The 13,161-nt window shown below is 38.1% G+C and overlaps 1 protein-coding gene across 2 annotated transcripts; it reads right to left on the bottom strand.

The window, feature by feature from the left end:
- Window positions 1-2,093: 2,093 nt before the first annotated feature.
- OR2AG2 (olfactory receptor family 2 subfamily AG member 2) lies at window positions 2,094-8,444 on the bottom strand. 2 transcript variants are annotated; one of them, NM_001386053.1, is made up of 2 exons: window positions 8,090-8,444; window positions 2,094-5,959 (listed from the first exon to the last, which is right to left on the bottom strand). In NM_001386053.1, exon 2 carries the CDS (start codon window positions 5,423-5,425, stop codon window positions 4,475-4,477), a length of 951 nt encoding a protein of 316 aa, NP_001372982.1. In that variant the 5' UTR covers window positions 5,426-5,959; window positions 8,090-8,444; the 3' UTR covers window positions 2,094-4,474. The 2 variants fall into 2 exon arrangements, with proteins under 2 accessions (NP_001372982.1, NP_001004490.1); NM_001004490.2 differs by having other exon boundaries at window positions 2,094-5,962.
- Window positions 8,445-13,161: the final 4,717 nt, after the last annotated feature.

The raw sequence follows: 13,161 nt of genomic DNA on the forward strand, positions 1-13,161 counted from the left end.
AAAGAAACTACCATCAGAGTGAACAGGCAACCTACAGAATGGGAGAAAAATTTTGCAATCTACCCATCTGACAAAGTGCTAATATACAGAATCTACAAAGAACTTAAACAAATTTACAAGAAAAAAACAAACAACCCTATCAAAAAGGGGGCAAAGGATATGAACAGACACTTCTCAAAAGAAGACATTTATGCAGCCAACAGACACATCAAAAAATGCTCATCATCACTGGTCATTAGAGAAACGCAAATCAAAACCACAATGAGATACCATCTCACCCCAGTTAGAATGGTGATCATTAAAAAGTCAGGAAACCACAGGTGCTGGAAAGGATGTGGAGAAATAGGAATGCTTTTACACTGTTGGTGGGAGTGTAAACTAGTTCAACCATTGTGGAAGACAGTGTGGCGAGTCTTCAAGGATCTAGAACTAGAAATACCATTTGACCCAGTGACCCCATTACTGGATATATACCCAAAGGATTATAAATCATGTGACTATAAAGACACATGCACACATATGTTTACTGCAGCACTATTCACAATAGCAAAGACTTGGAACCAACCCAAATGTCCAACAATGATAGACTAGATTAAGAAAATGTGGCACATATACACCATGGAATACTATGCAGCCATAAAAACGGATGAATTCTTGTCCTTTGCAGGGACATGGATGAAGCTGGAAACCATCACTCTGAGCAAACTATCACAAGGACAGAAAACCAAACACCACATGTTCTCACTCATAGGTGGGAATTGAACAATGACTACATATGGACACAGGGCGGGGAACATCACACACTGGGACCTGTCGTGGGGTGGGGAACTGGGGGAGGTATAGCATTAGGAGAAATACCTAATGTAAATCACGAGTTAATGGGTGAGCAAAACAGCATAGCACATGTATACCTATGTAACAAACCTGCACGTTGCGCACATGTACCCTAGAACTTAAAGTAAAAAAAAAAAAAAAGAAGAACTGTTTGTAATTGTTTTCCCTTGCCTGAAAATTGTCTTTGAATTCATGCTGTCTCTGCCTACTTTGGAAGTATTTCTCTGATACCAAAGGCAGAGAATGACACTACAAGAAAACAAAATTACAGGCCAATTCATCTAATGAACATAGATGCAAAAATTCTCAACAAAAATATGACCAAACCAAACTCAACCGAACATTGAAAAGATCATTCACAATGATCAATCTGGGATTTACTTCGAGGATGCAAGGATGGTTCAACGTGTGCAAAACAGTAAATGTGATATGCTGCATTTATACAGTGAAGCTTCTGCATAGCAAAGGAAATAATCATTAGAGTGAAAAGACAACCTATAGAACGGATACAAATATTTTGAATCATACATCTAATAAAGGGTTAATATCCAAAATATATCAGGAACTCAACTCAATAGCAGGAATAACCTGAGTAATACATGGGGAAAGAACCTAAATTGACATTTCTTAAAAGAAGACATAAAAATGGCCAACATGTATATGAAAAGGTTCTTAAGATTCATAATCTTCAGGGAAATGGAAATCAAATGAGATATCACCTTACATGAGATATCACCTTCCGTCTTTTAGATTGGCTATTATCCAAAAAACAAGATATGAAAAGTGTTGGTTAGGAAATGGAAAAAAGGGAGCTTTTGCACACTGTTGGTGGAAATGTAAATTGGTACATTTTACATTGTACCAATTTAAGCAGTATGGAAGTTCCTCAAAAAGTTAAACATAGAACTACTGTATGATCCAGCAATCCCAATCTGAGTGTACACCCAAAGAATATAAAATTAGTATGTTTAAGAGATATCTGCACTACTGTGTTCATTGCAGCATTATTCTCAATAGCCAAGCTATGGAATCAACCTAAGTGTCCATCAATGAATGAATGGATTAAAAAATGTGATATATATATATAGATATAGATATAGATATAGATAGATACACACACACACACTCAGAATAGAAAGTCTTACCTTCTTTAAAAAAGAAGGAAATCGTATAATTTCCAACAACATGAATGAATCTGGGGAACATTATTTTAAGTGAAATAAGCCAGGTATAGAAAGAAAAATATCACATGATCTCATTTATATGCAGAACCTGTAAGCTGAATTTACAGAAACAGAGAGTAAAATGGTGGTTACCAAATGTTGAGGTAGGGGGATTTGGGAGATGCTGGTGAAAGGACACAAAACTTCAGTTAGACAGGAGGAATAAGTTCAAGAGATTTATTGTAGATCATGGCAATTATAGTTAATCAGATTATATTGTGTGCTTGAAAATTGCTGAGAAAGTAGATTTTAACTTTTCCTAATGCAAAAAAGATAAGTATGTGGAGTAAAGCATATGTTAGTTGGCTTGATTTAGCAATTCCATAAAGTATACATATTTCAAAACATCATGTTTTACTACATTAAGACATACATATTTTGTCAATAAAAATAATAAACAAATGTTTCATTTCTAAAAGGAAATAATAAAATAAGATTTTTTAAAAAGGCTTTTTACTATTTATCCATATAGCAGCCAAAATGTTTTAAGCACAGTTTACTAAGCTGTGGTCTCAGTACCTGATATTAATTATCTTATTTAATCTACCCAACAATATCACAAGAGCAGGCCAGTAAATATCACCACTTTTAACATCAGCAGACTAAGGTACAAAGAGTTTAATTTAGCGTTCAAAGATGCATAGATGACCAAAGGAAGAGAGGGATTCAAATGCGGGCACTCTGGTCTGCTTTCTCATCACTACTCTAAAATATTCCCTCATAGCAAGGAAGAAGATTCACCAAATTTCAAATGGAAAAAACACAGGACCTTCATCATCATGGACATTTAAATTCAGTAAAATGCATATATGTGCAACAAAAAAGAAAAATTTATAAGTGATTTTTGATTTATTCTAATTTTTTTAATTTTCTCAGTTTTTATAACAAAGTTGGATTAATTTTATAGATTAGCTTTATCTTTTATTTTTTATGGTTTAGCTTTATAGATTAAATAATGTAATATTATTTCTATAAAGAAAACAAGAATTATTGTGTTTTGACAAAGCACTATTCTCAAGAATAATAACACCTATGTAAGCCAAGATATTTTGGGAATTCTGCATTCAACAAATTTAAGTTCCCAAATTTTGCTATAAATCTTCCCACACTGATGAGTAGAATAAAAAAAATAAGGCTTATTTAGGCTAGCTAGAAAGCAAATTATAAATTTTATACTTCCTTTTCTATGGAAACACACATGTACATACACTCACCTCAAGAATATAACCTCTTTCAATTGTTTTAATGTTTAAAAACACATTCACATATCTGCAAGTCCACATTTTAAAAAACTTAGACAATATTCCCAACAAATTTCTCTCATTGTTATTGTACTCACTTTAAAACTGGTACTTTCAATTCTATTTTATTCATTCTTTATTTTAGTTTTAATTTTAGGCAATGTAAAAATGCCCATTTTCAAAAAGACTGTCAAAATTTCCAAGTAGAAATATCTTTCTTTATCCTTTTCCATTCTTTCTTTCTATTTATTTATTTATTTATTGAAACGGAGTCTCTCTCTGTTGCTCAGGCTGGAGTGCAGTGGCGCGATCTCAGCTCACTGCGACCTCCGCCTCCCAGGGTCAAGCAATTCTCCTGCCTCAGCCTCCCGAGTAGCTGGGATTACAGGCACCCACAACTATGCCCCGCTCATTTTTGTATTTTTAGTAGAGACCCGGGTTCCACACGTTGGCCAGGCTGGTCTTGAACTCCTTACCTCAGGTGATCTGCCCACCTCAGCCTCCCAAAGTGCTTGGATTACAGGCGTGAGCTACTGCGCCTGGCCACACTCTTTCAATGTAATTATTTATCATTACTCAAGTAACCAATGTGAAGGTCCCTTAGGTCTAGAGTACAAATGCAGTCACATAACTCTTATTCATTTCCACTAACTGCTCAAATAATCATCTACTTAATAAACAGGAAGTCTAATATATCTTCTGAAAATTCTTCCCTCTATTAGTAGTTTAAGAATCTGCTTCAAAGGGAGTAGTCCTCCTCTGATGCTGAGAGGCTATTGGAATTTGGTCAGTCCAAAACTACTGCTGCTTCTCACTGCTATGTGATGTTAAAATGGAAAGCTAATCCCCTACCATGTCTACTTGGTAATGTGTCAGGACGATGCCTACCACAGAGTGAGTCTACAACACCCATTCAAGGCTTTTCCCCCATCTGGTTATTTTTATAACATGGGTTTCCAAAGTCAGGATGATGTGTGCCAAATGAGTTTAACTCAAGATCATTGTACACACCAGATTCACAGTTGAAAATAAAAGTAAAATTTAAAAAATGTATCTATCATCTCAGAGTACAGTATTGAAGAATGAGTGAGTAGAGAATTTTATTTGGAGCAGGAATGAGTGAGTAGAGAATTTTATCTGGAGGAGGAATGGTGAGAGGCAAGCCATGATCCTTCCCTAGAGCGTGGAATGTGCCAGCAGTATGTATTTTCCCAGGACCCTCCTCAAGGCCCGCATGACCTCCTTATTCCTCAGGCTGTAGATGAGTGGATTCAGGGCTGGAGTGACAATTGTGTAGAAAACAGAGATGATGTTGTCTTGTTTGGGGCTGTGGAAGGAACTGGGCAAGACATACATGAATGTGGCAGCTCCATAGAACATCCCGACCACAATCAGGTGGGAAGAGCAGGTGACAAGGGCTTTCTTCCTCCCCTCATTTGATGGCATACGAAGCACAGTGAATAGGACTAGTGTGTAGGAGGCCACAATGGCAGAAATGGGGAGCAAGAGGAAAGTCACACCTGTCACGTATATTATAAGCTCATACCTGGAGGTATCAGCACAGGCCAACTTCAGCAAGGGTGGGATCTCACAGAGCAGATGCCTGATTTCCCAGGACACACAGAAAGGGAGGTGCATAGTGTACATGGTATGTCCTATAGCAATCAGGGATGCCAGGATCCAGGATGTGGCCACCATGATCCAGCAGACTCTTGGGCTCATGAGGGTCATGTATTTCAGAGGATGACAAATGGCCACATACCTGTCATAGGCCATGAAGGCCAGTAGGAGGTCCTCAGCGCTACCCATTGTCAGTGCCAGGAACATCTGAAGTGCACAGCCTCCAAAGGAGATAGTGTTTTCTCTGCGCAGAAAGTCCGCAAGGGCCTTGGGAGTGACAACAGATGTGAACAGGAGGTCCATGAGAGAGAGCTGCCCAAGCAGGAGGTACATGGGCATGTGGAGCCGGGCTTCTATGGTGATGGCCAGGAGCAGCAGACCATTGCTGGTCAGTGCCAACATGTATAGGATTGTAAATGTAGCATAGAGCAGTTCAGGAGACCCACTGTCATTCAGAATCCCCACCAAGATGAAGCCGCTTCCCAAGGTGGAGTTCCGGAGCTCCATGATGTGTTTTTTTAGTTGCCTAGAACCAAATATATTATCAGTGGAAGCTTTTCTAAAGGTGTTCACTCTAGCTTTGGATTGTTCTAGGTCACTGTGCATTGGCCAATAGGAATCCCATAATATGATATATTTTCCATTTCTTAGTATGCCTCTGATTTCTGAATGCTTTTATTGAAATAAACCATCAGCTAAACTGGTATCAGGTATTTTGACATGTTGTTAATAGTAATCATTTAGAAATCCCTTCAAATAAGGTATCCTGAAGAATAAGCCCAAGCAAACATCTTTGTAGATAGATGAAAGCATCTCTTTCTTCACAATGAACAAATATACTGGGGATTGGTTTAAGATCTAGCTATTTTTCTGCTTAAAATGTAGTTGGAATTCCAATTCAGTTTTTAAAATTTTATTTATAAAAAACCTCTTTGCTGTCTTCTCCCTTAAACCAGTCTCATTGTTGTTGATTACTTTCCTCAGTAGGAGAATCTCTGGGTTCTTGGGCTGCTTGATCACCTGGACTCTTCAAGTGCTGCTCTGCTGGAGGGAAAGAGAATTCTGGGCTGAATTTAACAGTCATGGCGGTATCGATTCTAGAGGTAAATCTAGAGGAACAGTACAAAAGGTGTTTGCTGAGATAATAAGATGTTTTCTCAGAAACAGGCAGGAATAAAGGCAATACATGAGATTTGTGGTGGCATGGCAGGTGTTTGTGTTTAGGGCACATGATACAAGGGGTGAGCTACAAAGGAGGAGACATTGTAGAAACGGCCCAAAGCAATAGCGTTACCTGTGAGCCACAGCAACACACACAAGGTGAGAAGAAGATTTCTCCCCACAAATCTTAGGAATACAAGGAAAATGGTGTTTCTGCTGAACCCTGAATCCATATGATAGCTCTGCTGCTAGGGGTTGGGGAGGAGGAGTGGAGTGTGAGGTCCATGTGGGACAGCGTTCACTTGGCTCGCTTTTTGTGAATGCAGTTTTTTCACAGTCGGATGGAAGACTTAGGAGGCCTTTTGGAAGAGACAAATAATTCTTGATCAAATTATTCATCTTTCCCTTCCATAATCTGCACCTACTTCTCCAACTATCCATTTATGTCCCTATCCTGGTCAACTCAGAGTTAGAACCTTTAAGTGGTAAGGTCATACAAAAACCTGACATTGGAAGGCGCATCTGATCCTGCTCCTTTCATTCATTCAATAAATATTTACTAAGGACCTATGATATCTCAGGCACTGCACTTGGGCAACTGTGTAGATGTGAAAAATCGATCCCACAAACACCTACATACATCCAGTGAAAAAAAAATACATGAAAGAAAATACACTAGGAGAACATATAAGTGAGTTTTCAGGAAAGGATTCACCAAGGAAGTGGTATACAGACTAAAGGCTGAGGATAAATAGGAGGTGGCTAAATCAAAATGGGTCAGGATATAATTAAAAAAAAAAAAGTGAGGGATGGTACCGTGAAAGTCAGAACCTTAAAATACAGTACATGAATGTCCTCCTTGCACTTTTGCCCAGTGAAGTCTGGACAAGAAACCCCCAGAAAAATACCCTGTATAAAACTGTGTTTCACCACGCAATGTAGTCTAAGAATTTTCTCCTGCCTTACAAAATCAAAACTATAATTTTAACCTAGGAACCACTGACCCACTGACCGGAAAACCTTATTTGTCTGTTGACAACAAAAACACAAGTCCAAAGTCAATTCTAAGCACTATTTCTGCTAAATATTAGATTTGAAATGCCTTCATTTTTCTTGAATAAAAAGATGAATGGACAGGTAAATAAAAGGAGGAACATAATTAGCTGGGCACATTCTTCTAGCTTCCTGCACCAGATGTTTGGACAGGATTTCAAAGAGAAGAAAAATCAGGGCTTGGGTAAGGTGGTGTAACCAGGACTCAGGATCCTACATACCTACCTCCTCCCTCTGATACGGGACTATTGTTTTCCCTTCTTTCCATTTACTGAGTTCTCTCTGGGGTCATCTAAAGGGAAAGGCCAGAGAACACACACTGGGCCTACAGAGGAAGAGCTTCATTCTGGAAAACTGCTGGTGGTTGCGGGTATTTCAAACCAAGAGAAGTCAGCAGAGGCTGATATTAAGAGGCATTGCTATAGTTTATGGAAAATGGTCAGTCAATTAACAAGGTAGAGCTAAATTTTTGGAAGTATATTTTATAAGTTTTTCTTTTTCATCTCTGCTCAGTATATTTATTTTTTGTATTTACTTCATTTGGCTTTTTGTGTGGCACTGGACTTAGCGCCAAGCAGTCCTGCAGGGGAAAGGCACTTCAGCATATTTTAGATAGTCCTCCTTTGAGGTACTATTCATTTGGGGACTCACATCAAACTACTGGAGGCCAGGAAAATCTAGATGTAACAAAGGTAAGTACTGAGACTTTTACCAGGAGGCCATCATCAGGAATTCTAGGAACTCACGGCTGGCCAATGGCATAGAATTATTTTGGTTGTTCCTACATGTGCAAGATGGGTACATGTACAAGGTTGATAAGATATAGATGGGAGTGAGTGAATCATAAAGCCTGAGGAACTAGAGAATCTGAGAAGGAGAGCAGTGTAAGGTCTTGACCCTGTTTCTCAGGACTTCCAGACTTCCCATATTGCCTTGAAACGGAGACAGAGCCCTTACCTCATATGGGAAGGGGCATAGCTTCCAGGTAAAGAGGTTCAAGAAGCCAAAGAAAGAAAAGTTGCTTCTTCTGGCCAGGATGAATGTAGGTGTGTGTATGGCTGTCTCTAGGATCAGAGATCAAAGGCTCCTCCAGTCACTGGCACTGCAAGTCCTCTCTGGAAGTAGAGATAGATGCAGACAGGCAGCTGAGAACCTAGGGCAGGATCCTGCAGAAGTGAGGAGCTGAATCTCTTCCAAAGTTCTCTCATTCACTGTCCTTGCGAGAAAGTCCTTACTGCTTTGGAATGGTTCTAGCTGAGTTCTTAAGTCCAGGTCCTCAGATTTCATATATTCCCCTCATGCTGTGTTTCATGATAAAAGAGGAGCACAGCAGGAATGTGAGAAAAGAGGTATAAGAAGAGCTGCTTAAAAGAGACCCACCAATGCCCAGCCTTACTGTCTCTGCGCCAACAGTGAGGCCTGTCCTGGGGGAGGGTTCATAGTCTCACCCTCTCAGCTGACATGACCTCCCCTGAAAATATTGCTCCAGGAAATGGGATTTTAATAAATCCCCTTGGGCATGTCTCCTGGCCTGCCATTTCTTCAAACTTTACCACCAAATGAGCTCTGAACCTTGAGGCCTTGTTCTGCCCGCCATGGGCTTGCTGTGTCTCACCACTCATTGGAGTCTAAGATCTTTCTCCTGCCTTACAAAACCAAAACTATAATTTTAACCTAGAAATCACTGACCGGAAAACCAGACAGAGGCTGTTTCTGACAAAATAGATAGTGTCAGTAACCAATCTGAAAAGCAACACCTCCCTGTCCAGCCCTCTGTCCAAAATATAAAGTCTGTCTCATGGGTTCTATAGATGCTGCCACTCACATATCCCTCTTTGTGCCACTAGCCTGGGCTATTACCAACTAGAGGGAGTTAACTATGCTTCTGTTAATATCAGGTCTTCCTTCACTGAGCTTTAATGAGGATCCAGCACTAATTTATTTTTCAGTTCTTTGTTTCTCCTTTCTACTCCCTCTTGTGTGTGTTCATTTGTTCATGGGCCTACATATTCTGTGATCAGTCAGCTGAGCTGCTCAGAGCTTTGGGATGATGACACAGCACCTGCTTGCACTCACTTCTGCTTTTAGTTCAGGCTTTCCCATCTCTCACCCAATTCTGTGCTTAATCTTCCTCATTCTTTAGTATCTCTTTAATCAGCCATTTCACCAGGAAATGCTGAAAATTTCTTCCGGAGTTATCATATCTTTTCTCTTTGAACTTAAAAAAAATAAAAATAAGTTTCCACTTTCTGTTTATATAAAATATATACTCAAAATTATTTCAGAAGTGCAACAGAAGAACTAATATAAAAATCTTTTTATTTTTTAATTATAAAAGGAATGTACTGAAAAGACGGTTTTAAACATGTAAATTATAAGAGCAGCATTATTCACAGTACAATAAAAATTAGAAACGACCTTTATGCCCATCAACAGTGGAATAGATAGATATGCACCAAAGGGTTACTATGTAGGAATCTAAACAAAGGAACCAGAGCATACAACAAAAAAAGCAACTTAGGAAACTAATATTAAGGGAAGCAAGAGACACCTTAGGATTATATATCGTGGTACTTCTTTTGCAGTGTTAAGAACTTAAGTGAAAATAAACTTCCTATAAATATGTGTACATTCAATAAAACTACATATAAATGAAGAAAGAAAATGATGGACATGAAATTTGCGTTAATAGTTATAGTGAAAGGAGGCAGAGAGCTGGACTGCTAAATGTGGTCGAGTCCAAATCTTCTACTACTTGCCACACGACAGCCAATAAGTGGAGAGAAAAGGTGTTGGGGCAAGGAAGACAACTTTATTTCAGAAAGCCAGCAAACTGAGAAGATGGTGGACTAACATCCTAAAGAACTATCTAAAGTTGATTAATTTTTAGGCTCCTTTTATGTTAGAGGGAGGGGGAAAAGGGATGGGGCTAAGACCAGGAGGTGACTGGTGAACACAGATGTCTGGGCATCAGCAAAGGTCTGAGGAGGTGGCAAAACTTCTTTGTTCATGGTCAACTACTTGTCAAGTCCACCTTGTTTCTATAAATCTTTAATCATTGTTACTTGTATGCATACTTCCTTACCTCCTTGGGGGTCTGTTTCAAAAGTGAGAGAGTCATTAGTTCTAAAGTTAAAGTATAATCTAAATTCTTTTTGTGATTGGCTTGGTCCACAGTAGGAATGAGCAAAGGCAGTTAGCTTGTGAGGTCAGAAGTAAGATGGCATCAGCTACATTAGATTTCTCTCACTGTTTCATGACCTTATGGGAAGGTGAGGATATTATCAAGGTCCTAGCTTGCATTCTGGGAGCTGAGTTTATGGTAATAATCAATTAGTCCCTACATACCTGACATTCAACCTTTCTTTCTATTTCATAGGTAAAAGTAAAGATCACAGATGATTAAGTTTCTCAGATGAAAACTTTCTTACACCTTTTCATTGTCTTATATAGGAACTATTTTTACTCCTCAGCCTTTTATTTCAGAGGAGTAAGTTCTCCTTCTCCACTTTAGGGTTGCCTTCTCCAATTATTACTGAGATTCCTCCTTTTACATCTTCATTCCCTATTCTCTCTGCCTTTACTCCTTCATTTATGTATTTTTCTTGTATCCTAATCCCTCTCTCAATCCTTTGGTTTAGCTTTCAAAGATGATCATGACTTCTCTGCTCAGAAAATAATCCCTAGGTTTTCCTTTTCTTTCATACTATTTCTCTAAATTCCTCTCATTTTTGTAATAGGTTCCTTTAAAAATTTTTAGTTGAAAAGTAAAAATTGTATATATTTATCGTGTACCACATGACGTTTTGCAATAGGTATACATTGTAGAATGGATAAATTGAGCTAATTAACATTGGCATTGCCTCATACATTTATCTTTTTTGTGTGGTAAGTACACTAAAATATACTGTGAACAATTTCAAGAATATAATACATGGCTACTAACTGTAGTTACTATGTTGTACAATAGATCTCTTAAACTTACCCTTCCCGTATAACTGAAGTTTTGTATCCCATGACCAACATCTTCCCAATGTCCTGCACCTCTACTGTCCCCTGGTAACCACCATTGTACTCTCTGCTTTTGTGAGTTCAACCCTTTTAGATTCCACATATGAAGAGAACATGTAGTATCTTTCTTTCTGAGTTTCGCTTGCTTTACTTGACATAATATCCACCAAGTTCATCTATGTTGTCACAAACTATAGCATTTCCTTTTTTTAAAAAAAGCTAAGTGGTATTCCAATGTGTGTGTGTGTGTGTGTGTGTGTGTGTGTGTGTGTGTGTGTATATATATATATACACACACATATATATGACATTTTCTTTATTCATTCATCAGTTGATGGACACTTAGGTTGATTTCATAGCTTGGCTATTGAGAATAAGGATGCTATTAACATGAGAGTGCAGATATCTCCTCCACATGCTGATTTCCTATCCTTTGGGTATATACCCAGTAGTAGTATTGCTGGATCATATGGTAGTTCTATTTTTATTTTTTTAAGGAACCTCCATACTGCTTTCCCTAATGTCTGTACCAATTTACATTCTCACCCACATTGTTTAAGTGTGCCCTTTTCTCCATATTTTTGCCAACACTTGTTATCTTTTGTCCTTTTGATGATAGCCATTCTAACAGATGGGAAGTGATATCTCATTGTGGTTTTGATTTGCATTTTCCTGATGATTAGTAATGTTGAACATTTTTCATATACTTGTTGGCCATTTTTATGTCCTCTCTTGAGAAATGTCTTTGATTTTCTTTCCTCATTCTTTTTTTTTTTTTTTTTTGAGACGGAGTCTCCCTCTGTTGCCCAGACTGGAGTACAGTGGTGCGATCTTGGCTCACTGCAACTCTGCCTCCCAGATTCACACCATTCTCCTGCCTCAGCCTCCCAAGTAGCTGGGTCTACAGGCGCCCGCCACCACGTGCGGCTAATTTTTTGTATTTTTAGTAGAGACGGGGTTTCACTATGTTAGCCAGGATGGTCTCGATCTCCTGACCTTGTGATCTGCCCGCCTTGGCCTCCCAAAGTGCTGGGATTACAGGCGTGAGCCACCGCGCCCAGCCGCTCATTCTTTAATCAGACTGTTTTCTTACTATTGAGTTTCTTACATATTTTGGTTTAAATCTCTTATCAAATGTATGGTTTGCAAATATATTCTCTCATTCCATAGGTTGTCTTATCACTTTCATAATTGTCTCCTTTGCTGTGCAGAAGCATTTTAGTTTGATGTAGTCCCATTTGCCTATTTTTCCCTGTGTTTTTGGGGTCATATTAAAAAAATCTTTGCTCAGACCAATGTCATGGATCTATTCTCCTATATTTTATTCTAGTAGTTTTACAGTTTCAGGCCTTACATTTAAGTCTTTAACCCATTTTGAGTTGAGTTTTTTGTATGTGGTATAAGATAGGGTCTAATTTCATTTTTCTGCATGTGGATGTCTACGTTTTCTAACACTCCTTACCAAAAAAACTGCTCTTTCCCCGTTATGTTTTCCTGGCACCTTTGTCAAAAATCAATTGACCAAAGCTGTATGGATTGATTTATAGGTCTCTATTTCATTCTATTCCATTGGTGTATGTGTAGGTTTTTATGCTATCATCCTGTTTTCATTACTATAGTTTTGCAAGCATATTTTGAAATCAGGTAATGTGATGCCTCTGGCTTTGTTCTTTTTGCTCAAGATTGCTTCTGTTAGTTGGGGTCTTTTGTGATTCCATATGAATTTTATAATTGTATTTTATATTTCTGTATAGAATGTCATTGAAATTTTTGTAAGGATTGAATTGAAGCTATAGATTGCTTTTGGTAGTATGGATATTTTAACAATATTAATTTTTCCAATTTATGAACGTGGGATATATTTCCATTTTCTGTATCTCCTTCAATTTCCTTCATCAATGTTTTATAGTTTCAGTGTACAAATCTTTCACATCCTTGGTTAAATTTATTTTTAAGTATTTTAATTTGTTTTATTATTTTATTTTGTGGCTATCTTTAATCTTTTTTATCATTTATTT

This window comes from Homo sapiens, chromosome 11, assembly GCF_000001405.40.
Source record: "Homo sapiens chromosome 11, GRCh38.p14 Primary Assembly".
NCBI classification, from domain to species: Eukaryota; Metazoa; Chordata; class Mammalia; order Primates; family Hominidae; genus Homo; species Homo sapiens.

Excerpts from the sequence above, each read along its gene's own strand:
- OR2AG2 (NM_001386053.1), bottom strand. The coding sequence starts at position 5,425 with ATGGAGCTCCGGAACTCCACCTTGGGAAGCGGCTTCATCTTGGTGGGG.